Source organism: Homo sapiens, chromosome 1 (genome assembly GCF_000001405.40).
Source record: "Homo sapiens chromosome 1, GRCh38.p14 Primary Assembly".
Classification (NCBI taxonomy): Eukaryota; Metazoa; Chordata; class Mammalia; order Primates; family Hominidae; genus Homo; species Homo sapiens.
In genome coordinates, this window is record NC_000001.11 from 200,872,981 (window position 1) to 200,889,739 (window position 16,759).

General features: G+C 47.8%; 1 protein-coding gene across 1 annotated transcript, besides 3 other annotated features; it reads left to right on the plus strand.

Annotated features, from left to right (window-relative positions):
• Positions 1 to 1,198, plus strand: GPR25 (G protein-coupled receptor 25). The gene has a single exon (NM_005298.4). The coding sequence runs from the start codon at positions 58 to 60 to the stop codon at positions 1,141 to 1,143; it is 1,086 nt and encodes a 361-aa protein (NP_005289.2). The 5' UTR covers positions 1 to 57; the 3' UTR covers positions 1,144 to 1,198.
• Positions 53 to 695: an enhancer, noted in NCBI's record as "H3K4me1 hESC enhancer chr1:200842161-200842803 (GRCh37/hg19 assembly coordinates)". NCBI's record gives its function as "activates a minimal SCP1, AML or CMV promoter by ChIP-STARR-seq in primed H9 embryonic stem cells {active_cell/tissue: H9 hESC(primed)}" and the evidence as "EXISTENCE:reporter gene assay evidence [ECO:0000049][PMID:30033119]".
• Positions 10,647 to 10,847: a silencer, noted in NCBI's record as "peak649 fragment used in MPRA reporter construct". NCBI's record gives its function as "represses an SCP1 promoter by STARR-seq MPRAs in K562 erythroleukemia cells {active_cell/tissue: K562}" and the evidence as "EXISTENCE:reporter gene assay evidence [ECO:0000049][PMID:32103011]".
• Positions 12,925 to 12,984: a silencer, noted in NCBI's record as "silent region_1679". NCBI's record gives its function as "represses an Ori minimal core promoter by ATAC-STARR-seq in GM12878 lymphoblastoid cells {active_cell/tissue: GM12878}" and the evidence as "EXISTENCE:reporter gene assay evidence [ECO:0000049][PMID:35858748]".

Sequence of the window (16,759 nt, forward strand, 5' to 3'; positions counted from 1 at the left end):
AGAGCTGCTGCCGCCTGCGCCCAGGGCTGCACTCCGCGCAGGCCTCATAGCCAGGCCATGGCCCCCACAGAGCCCTGGAGCCCCAGCCCGGGGTCAGCGCCCTGGGACTACTCGGGGTTGGACGGCCTGGAGGAGCTGGAGCTGTGTCCGGCCGGGGACCTGCCCTACGGCTACGTCTACATCCCCGCGCTCTACCTGGCGGCCTTCGCCGTGGGCCTGCTGGGCAACGCCTTTGTGGTGTGGCTGCTGGCCGGGCGGCGGGGCCCGCGGCGGCTGGTGGATACCTTCGTGCTGCACCTGGCGGCAGCTGACCTGGGCTTCGTGCTCACGCTGCCGCTGTGGGCCGCGGCGGCGGCGCTAGGCGGCCGCTGGCCGTTCGGCGATGGCCTCTGCAAGCTCAGCAGCTTCGCGCTGGCGGGCACGCGCTGCGCGGGCGCGCTGCTGCTGGCGGGCATGAGCGTGGACCGCTACCTGGCCGTGGTGAAGCTGCTCGAGGCGAGGCCACTGCGCACCCCGCGCTGCGCGCTGGCCTCGTGCTGCGGCGTCTGGGCCGTGGCGCTGCTGGCCGGCCTGCCCTCCCTGGTCTACCGGGGGTTGCAGCCCCTGCCTGGGGGCCAGGACAGCCAGTGCGGCGAGGAGCCCTCCCACGCCTTCCAGGGCCTCAGCTTGCTGCTGCTGCTGCTGACCTTCGTGCTGCCCCTGGTCGTCACCCTCTTCTGCTACTGCCGCATCTCGCGCCGCCTGCGACGGCCGCCGCACGTGGGTCGGGCCCGGAGGAACTCGCTGCGCATCATCTTCGCCATCGAGAGCACGTTTGTGGGCTCCTGGCTGCCCTTCAGCGCCCTGCGGGCCGTCTTCCACCTGGCGCGTCTGGGGGCGCTGCCGCTGCCGTGCCCCCTGCTGCTGGCGCTGCGCTGGGGCCTCACCATTGCCACCTGCCTGGCCTTCGTCAACAGCTGCGCCAACCCGCTCATCTACCTCCTGCTGGACCGCTCATTCCGAGCCCGGGCGCTGGACGGGGCCTGCGGGCGCACCGGCCGCCTGGCGCGAAGGATCAGCTCAGCCTCCTCGCTCTCCAGGGACGACAGTTCCGTGTTCCGTTGCCGGGCCCAGGCCGCGAACACTGCCTCGGCCTCCTGGTAGCTGCCCCGGGCCGCTGGAGGTGGGCGGCAGCGGAGCATCGAGAGGAGGCCAGAGGTCCCGGAGGGGACTGAGCTCCCCAGACGCGCCTGTTCTGGCGGCAGCAAGCTGCTCGGGCCGGCATCGCATTTCCTCGCGCGCTGCCTGGACTCCCAAGGCCTCCTCCATCGGTTTCCCCGGAACCTCAGAACAATTGAACTCCCCTAAACCAGGCTCCTGTGACTAGCTGTTCCCTCTCAGCCTGCAGGGTACCTGAGCTAATTTTGTCCAGTCCAAGATAGGTGCTATGAGATGTAGCAGACAGCAACTCGGAGACCCGCAGATTCACCAAGTAGACAGAAGGGAAGTGGGTTTCCTTCTCTGTCCCATCGGGAAGAGAACCCACCAGAATATCTAACCCAGACCCCCAAATGCCATTCTGATTTCTGGCTGTGCTTTCTCCCGTCTCCCACAATAGCCGTTGCTTTCAGAGAAATACCTTCTCCAAGTCAGACCCCCTGCCCTTCTCACTCACAAAACCCTTGCATTGAATCTGGTGACACTTCTCCCCCTGTGAAGCGGCAGGACTCACCTGGAAGTTGTTCTGGTCTTTCCCTCTGGACAGAAGGTCCTGAAATCGCTCACCAGGCGTTTTTTGAGGTCTCCATCACTCAGCCAGGAACCTCAAAATCTCTGTGAATTCATCTTTCTCAATAAACACTCTTGCTAGCCCTGTCTTGACAACCGTCTTTGCTTGAGCAGTGGGAGTGAAATGCATATCAGGAGGCGGGTCGTACACTGGGTGAGACAAAACTCAACACAGTAGTTGAGGTTGATCTCAGGATGATGAGGATTTGGGGTGGTGTCTGGGAGCATGAGAGCTGGCTGCACTCTGCAGGTGCAGTAATCCCACAGGAGGAAGCAAGTCATTTATTCTTATTTTTAAGGACATTTCACATTTTGAAAATTACCGAAAGAAAATATATTTATATAAGGGCATCTGCCAGCCAAGTGTCACTTCCAAGAGAAGATGTGTCATTTTGGATTTTCAAATATATACCAGGCCCCCCCTTTTTTTTTCTATCTTTTTTCAGACCTTCCAGTACAAACTTGGAGGATTAGCCATTTTCTGACTCTGTCATTTCTCATTTGAGGTTTCTGTAGGGTTTGGAAATTCACTGTTTATACTTTTGATTTAAGAGGATTTGGCCTAAAGACATTTCAGTCAGTGCACATCCTAGCCAGATCCCCACAGGCCAGTCTTGATGTTGCAAGCTCTGGGGGAACGGGTGGGTGTGCACGCACATCAGCACCTCAGCACTAGGTTGGGTCTGAAGGCTGGCATTCTGTCGCAGGCTATCCATCCCATCCCCCCATCAAATACCCCTGTATTCTCTTCAGCATTTGGAGCTGCTTGGATTGAACATCGGCTCTCCTAGGTCAGCCTGCCAAAAAGTGCATCTCTGCATGTTCCTACCATATACTCCAAGAGAGGCAAGCCTTGCAGCCTGTGAGGTCACCTCTGCCAGCAGGACACATTTCAGGCACTTCGGTGTTTGAGAGTTCAGTTAAGTCTTGGCCCTTCCTATCCTCACGATTGCTCTCCGAGGCAAGAAATTATTTTTTCATGGGGCTGAGACCCCAGAATTTTCAGGGCAGGGAAGCTGATTCTCATCTGGGTTTGTGTGTGACAAGATCTCAGAGTACAGAGGAGGCACTTTTCTAGGCTATTGGGACTGAGCCCCCACCTCCACCCCTGCCAAGTTGCTGCTTCTGACTTACTGACTAGTTGAGTTCCCTGAAAACAGACAGGAAGAAAGAAGACTTCTCCATGCCCTGGTGGGTTTTCGTCTCCCCTCCTGCAGTAGCTATTGAAACTCAGCATTCCCCTCCTGCTGTGGAACTCTGCAATGTGGAGAGACAGTTTCCGCCCTTTGTTTGAGTAGATCACGGAACTGGTCTACCATGTGTCCTTTGGAAATTTTCCCTTAAATTCAGACAAAAATGAAAGAGGATCAGTGAGCTCCCATCTCCCACTGGGGAAGATGAGGCTCAGATTCATCGAGGAACTGGTTAAACGAGCATTCCCACATATGTGGCTGGTGAGAGTAGATTCCTTTAGAAAGCAATTGTCAATCTTCATCAAGAGCTTTAGAACTTTTCATATCCTGTTTATTTAAAATGTTTATACCCTTCGACCCTGTAGTTTTGCTTCTGCCACTCTCTTCTAATGCAACAGTACTAAATTTAAACGATTCTGCACTGAGTTATAGAAGTTTTTTTGTTTTGTTTTCGTTTTTTGTTTTTTTGAGATGGGATCTTGCTCTGTTGCCCAGGCTGGAGTGCAGTGGTGTGATCTCGGCTCACTGCAACCTCCACCTCCTGGGTTCAAGCGATTCTCCTGCCTCAGCCTCCCAAGTAGCTGGGAATACAGGTGTGCACCACCACGCCCGGCTAATTTTTTGTACTTTTAGTAGAGACAGGGTTTCACCATGTTAGCCAGAATGGTCTCAGTCTCTTGACCTCGTGATCCACCCACCTTGGCCTCCTGAAGTGCCGGGACTACAGGCATGAGGCAGTGCACCCTGCGGCTGAGTTAGAGAAGTTTTTAAAGAGTTAAACCTGAAAGGAAACAACAATGTCCAACAACAGTGTAATGTTTTTATTAAGATGAATGACTATTATGCAAATTTAAGATGCTCTTTAAAGAGAGACTGAAAAATGTTGACGGATAACTTAAAAGGGAAAAAAAGGTAAAATTGTGTCTGTTAAACACACCCACACACTTCAAGTCTGGAGGATGTAACATGGTTAGCACTGGTTTTGTTAAGTAAAACATAACATGCTTCATAGTCCTTTTGATGAAAACGATCTTTTGCTCTTTTATTTCTCATAGCTCAAGCTTTGAACACTATAGGTATATCTCTTTTATCTAGGTGCTAACTAATGGAATGCTGTCGATTTATTTCTTCGTTTCTTGCTTGTCCCTCCTGTCAGGATGCAAGCTCCATGCATGCAGACGGTTTTGTCTGTTGGTTCAAGGCTGTGTTCCCAGTGCCTGGAGCATGCCTGCACATCTCAGGCACTCACTAACTACCTGTTGAATGAATGATCATCAGGACCATGTCATGATATGAAATAATGTCATAGAATGTGAAGAGTAAAAGGAAGGCTATTGCATTTTATGTGTAACAGCTATGGATTGTTAAAGGACTTGCAAAAAAAGGCTAGGAAGAAATACAATAATCATTAATGATAATGATTGTGTATGATTGTGTTAGAGTAAGTGGATTTTAGATCCTTTTTCCCCTCCATTTCTTTACTTTTAAATGTTCTATGAGCTTTTTTTTTTTTTTTAAAGAGACAGTCTTCCTGTGCAATCATAGCTTGCTGCAGCCTCCACCTCCTGGCCTCAAGTGATCCCCCCACCTTGGCCTCCCAAGGTTTGCTAGGATTACAGGCATGAACCACTGTGCCTGGGTTTATAAGCTTCTTTTTTTTTTTTGAGACAGAGTCATGCTCTGTCACCCAGGCTGGAGTACAATGATGGGATCTCAGCTCACTGCAACCTCCTCCTCCCTGGTTCAAACAATTCTCCTGCCTCAGCCTCCCAAGTAGCTGGGATTACAGGCTCCCGCCAATTTTTTAATATTTTTAGTAGAGATGGGGTTTCACCATGTTGGCCAGGCTGGTCTTGAACTCCTGACCTTAGGTGATCCACCCACCTTAGCCACCCAAAGTGCTGAGATTACAGGCGTGAGCCACCATGCCTGGCCCCTATAAGCTTCTTTTAAAGGGCAGTTAACAAATAGCAACGAAGCTACCAAAGCACTGGAGCTCATAACAAGCTGCCTGTCCTTGGCCACCTCGCTTACCTTTCTTGAGACTCACTTTCTTCATCTAAAGGATGAAGATGATAATATCTCCTCAGGCTGCCTCACAGATCAAAGGAAATAATCTTGAAAGTACTTTGTAAGCTGTGGTGTTTTAGACAAACATACTGCAGGAGTTTTAGACAACATACCCTCAGGATTAGCTTGTTCCAGGCCGGGCTACCCCATCCCAATCCTTGTAGCCATGGAGAGGAGATGGGGTGGAGCCACTCTGGGTTTTCAAAAGGTCAGCATCTAGGCTAAGGCTGGGCACACTGGCTGTGTGTGATTCTGATTTGCTTCTTGTGACTAATTCTGGGCTTCCTCCTCACCTCTCTCAACCCCTTGGGTGCTTTCTTGGGGCACAGTGTGGGAACCCAGGGCACTTGGGTTGATGAGTGATTTGGGGAGTTCAGCAGAATGGCAGAGCTCCAGGGGTGGCACTTGGTGATATGACTCAGCCCCACACCACTCTGAAGGCAGAGTGAGGACTCTGGACACTTGTGAGTACGTCTTGCTTGTTAGAGCTTACTGGGGCTAACTCCCTGTCCTACCTGGGCCGAGTGGCCACAAGACATACTTATCCCATCACCCCCAAATGATGGGGCAAAAGGTGCAAATGATGAAAAGACCAGGAAATGCTTGGGATGTGAGAGGAAAGGAGAAAGCAATGATGTGAAATCACCCCTCCTCTTCATCATCATGAACATCAAAAAGTATTTATTGAGTGTGTAAGTACATCTTCCATGAAAGTGGGCACTGCCTGAGATTCATATTTACATCCATCACAGTGCTTTAAGGACAGAAGCTCATTTTGTCCATTCTGAGAACGAGGAGACTGAGGGCCAGAAATGGGGGTCACTTAAGGTAATAATCACCACTTATACCTGTGTAGCATATTAAGAAAAAATTCTTTTTTTGAGACAGAGTCTCACTCTGTCACCCAGGCTGGAGTGCAGTGACACGATCTCAGCTTACTTCAACCTCCACCTCCTGGGTTCAAGTGATTCTCCTACCTCAGCCTTCCAAGTAGCTGGGATTACAGGCACGCGCCACCATGTCCAGCTAATTTTTGTATTTTTAGTAGAGACGGAGTTTCACCATGTTGGCCAGGCTGGTCTCAAACTCCTGAGCTCAAGTGATCCACCCACCTCGGTTTCCCAAAGTGTTGGGATTACAGGCATGAGCCACCACACCCAGCTGCAAATGTTTTAAAAGCAGCCTGGGCATGGGTAGCTCACATCTGTAATCCTAGCACTTTGGGAGGCCGAGGTGGGAAGATCGCTTGAGCCCAGCAGTTCGAGACTGGTCTGGGCATCATAGTGAGACTCTGTCTCTAAAAAAATTAAAAATGGCCAGGTGCAGTGGCTCATGCCTGTAATCCCAGCACTTTGGGAGGCCAAGGCAGGCAGATCACCTGAGGCCAGGAGTACAAGATCAGCCTGGCCAACATGGTGAAACCCCGACTCTACTAAAAATACAAAAAAATTAGCGGGGTGTGGTGTCGGGCACCTGTAATCCCAGCTACTTGGGAGGCTGAGGCAGGAGAATTGCTTGAGGCGGGGAGGCGGAGGTTGCAGTGAGCTGAGATCACACCACTGCACTCCAGCCTGGGCAACAAGAGCAAAACTCTGCCTGAAAAAAAAAAAAAGACAAAACAAAAAAAAATTTGTCAGTTTGGTGTCTGCCCAACTTAAAAAGAAAATATTTACTATCTTGTTATATTATTTCAAAGACAAAAGCCTTTTATACATAATATCTCATTACAATATCCCTCTGAAGTAGATGTCAAGATAATAGCTAATATTTACTGAGCGCAGTTGAGAGGCTCTGAGCTAAAGTTCTTACTTTATATATATATTTATATAATATTATTAATCCTCACAATAACTTTATGGGGTATATAATATTATTGTTTCTATTCTACAGATTAAAAAAATGAGTTCTGGAGAGTTTATATAACTTTCCCAAAGTATCTTGCCTAAAGAACCTGTGTTATTATCCCCATTTTAGATAGGAGAGTTAGAACTCCAAGAGCTCAGTTGACTTGCCAGGATCACACACACACAGGGCAGGGCTGAAAATTGTGGCTTCATGGGCCACAGCTCAACCCACCTTCCAACTTCCACCAGTTTTCTAGTGCCCGCTAACCCTGTTTCTCACTAATTGGTACTAAACCAAGTGTGCCAGAGTCAAGGCTGTTGCCCAGCATGGAAATTACCCCGCTTTTGTTCTCAAAAAAATCAGAATCCCTGTCCTACGGACATGGACAGTAAATTGTTGGGGCATTGGATTGAGAGAGAAATGGGGCTCTTCCCAGGGGTGATAGGGGCAGGACTGGGGAGAAACCCACAAACCCCAGGGTTGCCTGGTAGTCCCAGCAGTGAATGAGAGAGCTGGGGAAAGACGGGCAGGGCTTCAATGGGCTTCGATGGACCTCAGACAACAGCTGCCAGTGTCTGGATGGAGACTGTGGTTTGCCTCAGGGAGATGTGCTAGACAAGGGGTGATTAATTGCTGCCCTGCTCTGAAAATGACTGTCTTCATGCTGTGCATGCAACCATTTCTTTCTATTCATCATCTCTGCTTCTGAATAACCTTAAGCAAGCAGGTTGTGCCATGGGCTGCTCTTATTCTGGGTCCCACAAACACAGAGTGGCAGGATAAGGAAGGTCACAGGGCACTCTGAATTCCGTTTCTTTGTAGGCAAAGTCTTATTCTTTATATAGCCAATTGTCCCAAATCTTCGTAGGTTTCTTTTTCCTTTCTTTTCTTTTTCTAAGAAATGGGGTCTTGCTTTGTTGCCCAGGCTGGAGTGCAGTGGCACAATCATAGCTCACTGCAGCCTCGAAATCCCAGGCTTAAGCCATCCTCCTGCCTCAGCCCAAGTAGCTGGGACCACAGGCACACACACCATCACTCCTGGCTAATTATTTAAAAATTTGTTTTGTAGAGATGGGGTCTGTCCATTTTGCCCAGGCTGGTCTCAAACTCCGGGGCTCAAGCTATCCTCCCATCTTGGCCTCCCAAAGTGCTGGGATTACGGGTGTGAGCCACCGTGTCGAGCCTTCTCAGGTTTCAATTTCTAAAATTATTATTATCATAAAGAGAGAAAATATAATATCAAGAGTGAACTAACTCAAGATCCTGCACCCTAATTGCAATAATTTTCATTTTTGCCCATCCTCTTAACCCTTCTCCACATGGTCACATTTTACATTGCTGAGATCGTGTCGTGTCCAGCTTTATTATTTTGCAGAACATATTATAAACATTTTCCTGTGCCACTATATAGATTTCATAGTTGTCATTTTTAAAGGCGTCATTCAGTGTATAGACCACAGTATAACTAACCATTCTTCCATGATTAGACATTTATGTTGCTCAGGAGCCTCTGCTTTTATAAATATACCATAACAAACATCATTTCTATCTAATTTGGGACTAATTTTGAGTGTCTGTTTCAAACTGAAAAAATTCCCCTGCATCCATCACCCTCTTTTGGGTTCTTCCCCCTCACCACCCTGTGTGATTCTCTCGCCTGTTATGTTCTCCTTCAAAAGATTGAAACCTCCTCAAAAGCAGTAGCTGTGGACTTGTGGAAAACGCACTTTGAAAAGAAATAGAGCACACTAGGCCAGTTGCGGTGGCTCATGCCTGTAATCCCAGCACTTTGGGAGGCTGAGGCGGGCAGACCACAAGGTCAGGAGATCGAGACCATCCAGGCTAACATGGTAAAACCTCGTCTCTACTAAAAAAATACAAAAAATTAGCCAGGTGTGGTGGCAGGCGCCTGTAGTCCCAGCTACTCGGGAGGCTGAGGCAGGAGAATGGTGTGAACCCAGGAGGTGGAGTTTGCAGTGAGCTGAGATCGTGCCACTGCACTCCAGCCTGGGTGACAGAGCGAGACTCTGTCTCAAAAAAAAAAAAAAAAAAAAAGAGCATACTAATGAGTGTAAGTGCTTTTTAGTAACCATATATAGACGTTCAGGGCACAAACTCCAGTGCCACTAGCTGGGTTCAAGTTCCAGCTCTGCTTCTTACTGTCTTTGAGATCTTGGGTATGTTACTCACTTACTTTTCCCCTTGGGATCCTCCTCAGATCACAGGAGGAGGAGATGATACTTCTTAAGTCACAGAGTTTGTGAGAGGGTGAAATGTGTTGACTATGACTATCTGGCACATATTAAGCATTCTATGTTTGCTATAATTTTAAGAGTAAAATTGAATTCTACCATGGTTGTGGATTTCTCTTCTCTCTCTCTCTCTCTTTTTTTTTTTTTGAGACCGTGTCTCACTCTGTTGCCCAGGCTGGAGTGTAGTGGCACGATCTTAGCTCACTGCAACCTCTGCCTCCCAGGTTCAAGCAATTCTCCTGCCTCAGCCTCCTGAGAAGCTGGGATTATAGCCGCCCACCACCACGCCCGGCTAATTTTTTGTATTTTTAGTAGAGTCGGGGTTTCACTGTGTTGGCCAGGCTGGTCTTAAACTCCTGACCTCAGGTGATCCGCCTGCCTTGGCCTCCCAAAGTGCTGAGATTAAAGGTGTGAGTCACTGCACCTGGCCGGATTTCTCTTCTTAAATTCAATGTTTCAAGAAACTTTCATTTTGCATTACTACTGTGCCAGGTAGGATATGCAAGACTGTGGGGCTACAGAAATGAAAAAGACGGCCGGGCATGGTGGCTTACCCCTGTAATCCCAGCACTTTGGGAGGCTGAGGCGGGCGGATCACAAGGTCAGGAGTTCAAGACCAGCCTGACCAATATGGTGAAACCCCGTCTCTATTAAAAATACAAAAATTAGCCAGGTGTGGTGGTATGCGATTGTAGTCCCAGCTACTCAGGAGGCTGAGACAGGAGAATTGCTGGAACCCGGGATGTGGAGGTTGCAGTGAGCCGAGATCGTGCCACTGAACTCCAGCCTGGGTGACAGAGACAGCCTCCATCTCAAAAAAAAAAAAAAAAAAAAAAAAAAAAGAAAGAAAAAAAAGAAAAGAGAAAAGAAATGAAAAAGACTCCCAGCTCTCCTGCAGAGCAACCATGAATAATTTGTCTCCATCCCACACCAAAAAAGAAATGGAAAATGTGGGCTTGTGTGGATCTTTTGTTTTGGGTAAAATGTTATTTTTCCTTTCCTATCTCTTTTTCTTGAAATTAAAAACCATACAAAGAATTCCATGCTGTGAATCGGTTGCTTTTGTATATCTTTGATTTTTGGAGATCAGTTGGTCAGTGTGTCCCCACAGTGAAAGACTGTGAAAGACTTTGTCTCTCTGTCTGGGAATTTCCTGCCAGAGCCCAGAGTGGTCTCTGAAATGAGTGAGGCTGTGTGTTTAATCCACAGCGACAGTTTTGTAGCGGTGCCATCTATCTACAGACAAGGCCCCAGCACTGGGTGGGGATTGGATAAGGAGACCTCTCTGATCCCTGTCAGCCCTAAGATCCCCAAATCCTTTGACTGTAGGCCTAAGCCTGTTCTCTAGAGGCTTGTCTAGTTTATTGCTTAAAATTATTTTTTAACATTTAATAAAATGGACCCATCAAAAGGCTAGAAGCAGACAATCATCAATTAAAAATCAAATAATCAGATCAAACAATCAGGCAAAACAATTTTAAAAACCCATCCATTACTATGAACAACCCCATCAATAGGAGACCAAAGAAAGAGAAATAACTGACAGCACTTAGCGAGTAAAATACACTTATCAGCCCACTTAATACACACTTTGTGACATGTAAGAGCCTGATTCTATGTGGTCCTGTACCAAGAGAGATATGTGCACACATACTTTATGCATTCTCAGAGGTTATGGTCTAAGGAAGACAACAGAGCAGAGTTGGCAGAGGGCTCTCCAGAATGCGGTACTAACAAACAGGGAAGTTATTTTTAATACGTAATCAATCAATACGGGTGTCTTTATGGGATTCTCTTATATCACAAGCTGAATTTGGAAGCTAGATCGGTAAGAAGCTGATTGATCACATTTTATGAAGTTTATTGCTTTTTAACAGTAAAACTCATTTTAGTAGAAATAGCAAATCGCCTTTTGCAACCTCTAATAAAATAATTGATTCAGGCAAAAATCATCAATGGCTGCTAAAACCTTTGGGTGAGAGGCTTCTGGGGAGCTAGACTATTGCAAGATGTCAACATGTTGCCCCACAGATTCTCTCCCAGTGAGAAGGGGGAAAATGCAAGATGATGATGGAGGGGTCAGGCTGTCAACATCTGAACCCACTGATGTACTTAGCATTGCTAAAAGAGGACAAACAGACATGACATGCTTCAGAATAGGAGCAGGATGAAGCACCCAGCATTACCTGTGAGGTACTTGCCAGAAAATGATAAACCTGAATGTTTGCAAGCCTTTGGTGCTAATTTCCATGTTTTAGGAAATATAGGGGTTAGGAGGAGTTAAATGACAATGTGAGGACACAGACAGATAAAACAGAATTTAGGACATTTCATGAGACAACTGACCCGATTTCTTTAAACAAGTCACTGACATGATTTTAAAAGTTGGGGGATGCAGGGCAGGGAACAATACCAGATTAAAAGAGCCAAATGCCATGTGTAGATCTTACTGGATTTAGATACAAACAAACCAAAATTTTATTTTATTTTTTTGAGACAGGGCCTCACTCTGTTACACAGGCTGGAGTGCAGTGGTGGGATCTCAGCTCACTGTAACCTCGACCTCCCTGGGCTCAGGTGATCCTCCCACCTCAGTCTCCCAGGTAACTGGAATTATAGGAGTGTGGTACCACACCCGGCTAAGTTTTGTATTTTTCGTAGAGACAGGGTTTCTCCATATTGCCCAGGCTGGTCTTGAAGTCCTGAGCTCAAGCATGGAGGCCAGCCCAGGCCTCCCAAAGTGCTGGGATTACAGGTGTGAGCCACTGTTCCCGGGCTAACCAACTTTAAAAGACAGTATGAGGACAACTGGAGAACTTGGAATATAACTTGGTATTAGGTGAGATTAAGAAGTGATTGTGATAATGGTCAAGCGATCATATAAGAAAAATGTCCAATTATTTTCAGAGATACATTCTGAAACATTTATTAGTCATATGTCACCATGCCTGGGATTTTCTTTAAGATATTTCACTAAAGAAAAAAATAGTCCCGGTGCAGTGGCTCACACCTGTAATCCCAGCACTTTGGGAGGCCGAGGCAAATGGATTGCTTGAGCTCGGAAGTTCGAGAGCGGCCTAGGCAACAAAGTGAGACCCTATCTCTACAAAAAATATAAAAATTAGCCGGGCATGGTGGCGCATGCCTGTGGTCCTAGCTACTCAGGAGGCTGAGGTGGGAGGATGGCTTGAGCCTGGGAGGCAGAAGTTGAAGTGAGCTGAGATTGTGCCACTCTACTCTAGCCTGGGCAGCAGAGCCAGATCCTGTCTCAAAAAAAAAAAAAAAAAAAAAAAAAACCAAGAAAAATGAAAGGTAATAAAGAAAAAAAAACTATAAAAAAGAAAAAATCATATAGGGAAATGTTAATCTTTACTAAATATACTAGATGTAGGTGATGGGTAAATGGGAGTTCATTCCATAGAACTGACTTTCCTACTGAGCCCTGTCTCACCACTGCCCGAGCCCACAGGGCTGTGAGAGCACCCACAACGCTTTGGTGCACACATTTTTGAACAAACGAATGAAACTGCATTGACCTAAATGAACCAATTGCAGAGGGGTGTGGACGAGTGTGGGTTGGGGGCAGAGCTCTGAGGAGAGATGGGGAGGAGGTCACACGTAGCTGGGTTTATGGACCATTTCAATGGATTTAGACAGCATCTGACCTCAATTAAAACCCTCCTTTCTTCAAAAACACACTCCTTTCTCATCTCTTTGAGTATTTTAAGACAAGGCAAAGGTATAAGGTCCTAATTTGTTTTTATATAACCCATGCCAAGGCCATAGGCCCAGGCCTGATCACAGGGGGAGATTGGTCTTTTGAAGCCCCAAGTTGTTAAACCACAGGAAGTGGAACTTGGTCACCAGTAAACAGGTCTGGACCATTAAATTTGTAATTATCATGAGTAAATACTATCTTGTTTTTCCTGGGGGTTGGGTGTGAGGAAGAAGAAAAACTTTAAAAAAAAAAGATAATTTGGAAAACATCTTCTTTAAAAAACCCTGCCATTTTATTGGGTGCTTACTATGTGCAAAGCACAATGCTCAAAAGCATTTTATCTGCATGATTTCATTATCCTCACCACAGTCACGTGAGTGGGCCTTCTCATGCCCATTTTACAGATGAAGAAACTGAGGCGATCTGACTACAAAACACATATTTTAAAAGTTTCCCCCAAATTATGTACCTGAGCCACGCACTTAACATTCACAGGATAAATTGATAAAAAGCCCCAAATTGTTCAGGTGCTATTTATTTATTTATTTATTTATTTATATTTTTATTTTTAGATAGAGTCTTGCTCTGTCGCCCAGGCTGGAGTGCAGTGGCACAATCTTGGGCTCACTGCAACCTCCACCTCCCAGGTTCAGTGATTCTTGTGCTAATTTTTGTATTTTTAGTAGAGACGAGGTTTCACCATGTTGGCCAGGCTGGTCTCGAACTCCTGACCTCAGGTGATCTGCTCGCCTTGGCCTCCCAAAGTGCTGGGATTACAGGCGTGAGCCACTGTGCCCGGTCTGTCAGGTGCTATTTTAGAGGGCACCTCCAGCCCAAGGTCTTTGAAAAATGCAACTGCTATTAGTGGTATTAAACAAAATTTATTGGAGGTCATTGATTTGGACTGACCTCCTGCTCTAGGCTTAACAGAACAAACCAAAATGGTGTCACTTATGCTAAAGTTTGATGTCACCAAACTGAAACTAAGTTGTTTATCTGACCTTCCAAGAAAACAGGAGAGAGAGAAAGATAATAGCCAAATCCCCAGATAGGCCAGTTTTAGCCAGCATGATAAGAAGTCCCCTCTGCTTTAACCTTTACAAAGAAAGTTAACTGAAGTTACCTGATGCTAACTGGTTGCTTTTTGTTCTGATTCTGCTTTCTTCAGCCCTTTTCTGCCTGTAAAGCCAACCTCCTCTGCTCAGCTCATTGGAGCACTTTTTCTCAGTTTTTAGAGAAAAATGCTACCCAGCTTCATAAGTCACAAATAAAAGCCAATTACATCATTTAACTAAATTTGTCATAATTTTGTGTTTTGACAGAGGGGTAATAATCATCCAGCCCTCAGACCCCCGACACGGTGTCTTCACCTCCTGCCAGTGTTTCAGGCTTCCTGAGGTGCAGCCCAGCTGGGACGTGGAAATTCCCGACCCTACACACCACCGCCCGCGGGGAAGGAAACATGGACCTGCACCAAAGTGTCTTTACTGTGTGCCATCTGATTGCAAACAGAACTGGGCTTTCCAAGAGAAACTGAGGACAGTGGAGAGCTTTTATCTTGAACCCGGGAGGTGGAGGTTGTAGTGAGCCGAGATCGCGCCACTGCACTCCAGCCTGGCGACAGAGCGAGACTCTGTCTCAAAAAAAAAAAAAAGAGCGAGAGAATGGCCACAGAGGCCCGGGCATTAGGGCTTACTGGACCAGGGATGCTGCAGGGGGCTTGGGCTTGCGGTTAGAGAGGGGCCAGGTTTTGCTCTCCCCAAAGCAGGGGTCCAAGTCTCCCCAAAGCAGGGGTCCAAGTCTCCCCAAGTGGGGCCACAGAAAGCAGGGGGCTCCAGGTTAAATTAGAGCCTCCAGGCCACCCCACACCCCGCTCTCTACCCCCCAGCACTTTCACCCTTAGGTTTTCTTCCTCCAGGGCACACAGAAGAGCAGATTTCTGGCAACTGTCAGAAATCTGACCCCCCAGGGGTCCAGCCCAGGAGAGCGAGTTACAAGAAGGGCAGAGGTCGGGGAAAGCGTGTCAGGGGCCAGTGCTCTCCATGTGCAGTGCGAGGTCACTGTCCTGTGGTCCCTGAAATCTTCTGGGAGCCCAGGCAGCCAGGATAGAAGAGCTGTAGAGGAAGGGGGAGGAGGAAAGAGAGAGAACAAAGGGAAAAAAAAGTGAAGAAAGAGAGGAGGCGGGGAAGGTAGGAAGAGGACCCTAACTTCCTGGAGAGGACCTGGGAACATTGAGAAACCAGCCCAGGATTGCTGGCCAGGAGGATGCTGGTGTGTCTCTGGGGAGCAGGCTCCTTTCCCATCTCATGCAACTCAAGAGTCTGAGCCCCAGTGATGGGCTTGCCCCTCTCCTCCAAGCAGCTCTCTAGATTCAGTATCCTGGACCCATTTGGGGGTTTTTCTTCCTTTGAAGCACTTTGAAGCAGCTGAGTGAGGCCCCCTGGCTGGACCTCCTAAGTCAGCTGTATGCGTTTCGCATAGCTACTCACCCGCCTGCAGCCCAGCCTGCACCCGATCAGTTGAGAGGGATCTGGTCCACAGAGGCTGAGGCCAATAGAGGACAGTGCCCCTTCTGCACCTGCCTCTGGCTGTGAGCTGCAGGATGTGGTCAGGAGAGGAAGCGAGGCCTAGGCCCAAGTCATTCTGGGGTTTCCAGAGAGCTTCTCACCCAGGGCATTGACAGGGCACTGTCTGGGTCTAGGCACGCCTCCCTCTCCTCATCCGGCCCCTGGAGCAAGGGTCGGGGGAAAGGGAGAGTGGGGAAGTTCAGCCTCCTCCCCCTCTTCCTCTGCCTGGCCAGAGAGCCTGAGGATTGTGAAATTGGACCAGGATAGCTCCCTCCGGGCAGGGAGAGGACTCAGTGAGTCCCTCTACTGCGTATGGGGGAGGATGGTGCTTCAGGGTGCGAGCAGCTGCCCAGCTACCATGCAGCTTTTAGAAGCTCAGCTAAGGACATCCAACTTTGCTTCCCTTTCTCCTGCCTAGCAAGAACTCAAAGGTTTTCCCCACTTCCCTTCCACTTCCCAGAAAACCCCATCTGATGGAGAATGCTTGCCCCTTCAGCCAAAGTGGGAAGGAGAGAGAGCTGATGGGGGCTTAGCGACCTCTTCCAAATCGCACCTCCTTCCTTCCCCTACATGGGCTGAGCAGTCAGTTTCCAATGAGGACTCTGGTTTCTGCTTCCATGGTGCCTGCTTCTGAGGCCCTTGACCTCTTCCCTCTGCCTTTCACCCACTCTCTCCCCTCTGCCACAACAGGAGTCTAGGCGCCATCGCCCTCGCCTGCATTCCTGCCTGCCTATGCTTTCTCCCCACTCCAACCACTCACATGCCACTCATCTTCTAAAGGTCAGTTTGCCCAGTTCATCTCCTGGGTCAACGTTTTTCAGCAGTGTGATGGTTAATTTTACGTGTCAACTTGGCTAGGCCCAGTGCCCAGATATTTGGTTAAACATTTTTTCAGATGTTTCTAGACGGTGTTTTGTTGTTTTGTGTGTGTGTGTGTGTGTGTTTTTAGATGAGATTAACATTGAAATTAATAGACTTTGAGTAAAGCAGATTACCCTCCAATCTGTGGAAGTCCTGGTTGGAACAAAGTCTGATCTCCCTGGAGCAAGAATGAATCCTGCCAGCAGGTTGCTTCGAACTTGAACTCCAGCTCTTCCCTGGATCTCCAGCCTGAGAGTCTATCCTGCAGATTCTGGATATGCCAGCTTTCACAATCCAATGAGCCAGTTCCTTAAAATCAATCAATCTCTCTCTTGCATTCTCTCTCTCTAGATATAGCTATCTATACATACACATCTTACTGGTTCTGTTTCTCAGAGAGTGCTGATTAATTCAAGTAGCTTCTCTTCAACTTCAGTATAAAAATCTTAAATCCTCACCTAGCCCACAAGGCTCTTAGTCATCTTA

Excerpts from the sequence above, each read along its gene's own strand:
- GPR25 (NM_005298.4), top strand. The coding sequence starts at position 58 with ATGGCCCCCACAGAGCCCTGGAGCCCCAGCCCGGGGTCAGCGCCCTGG.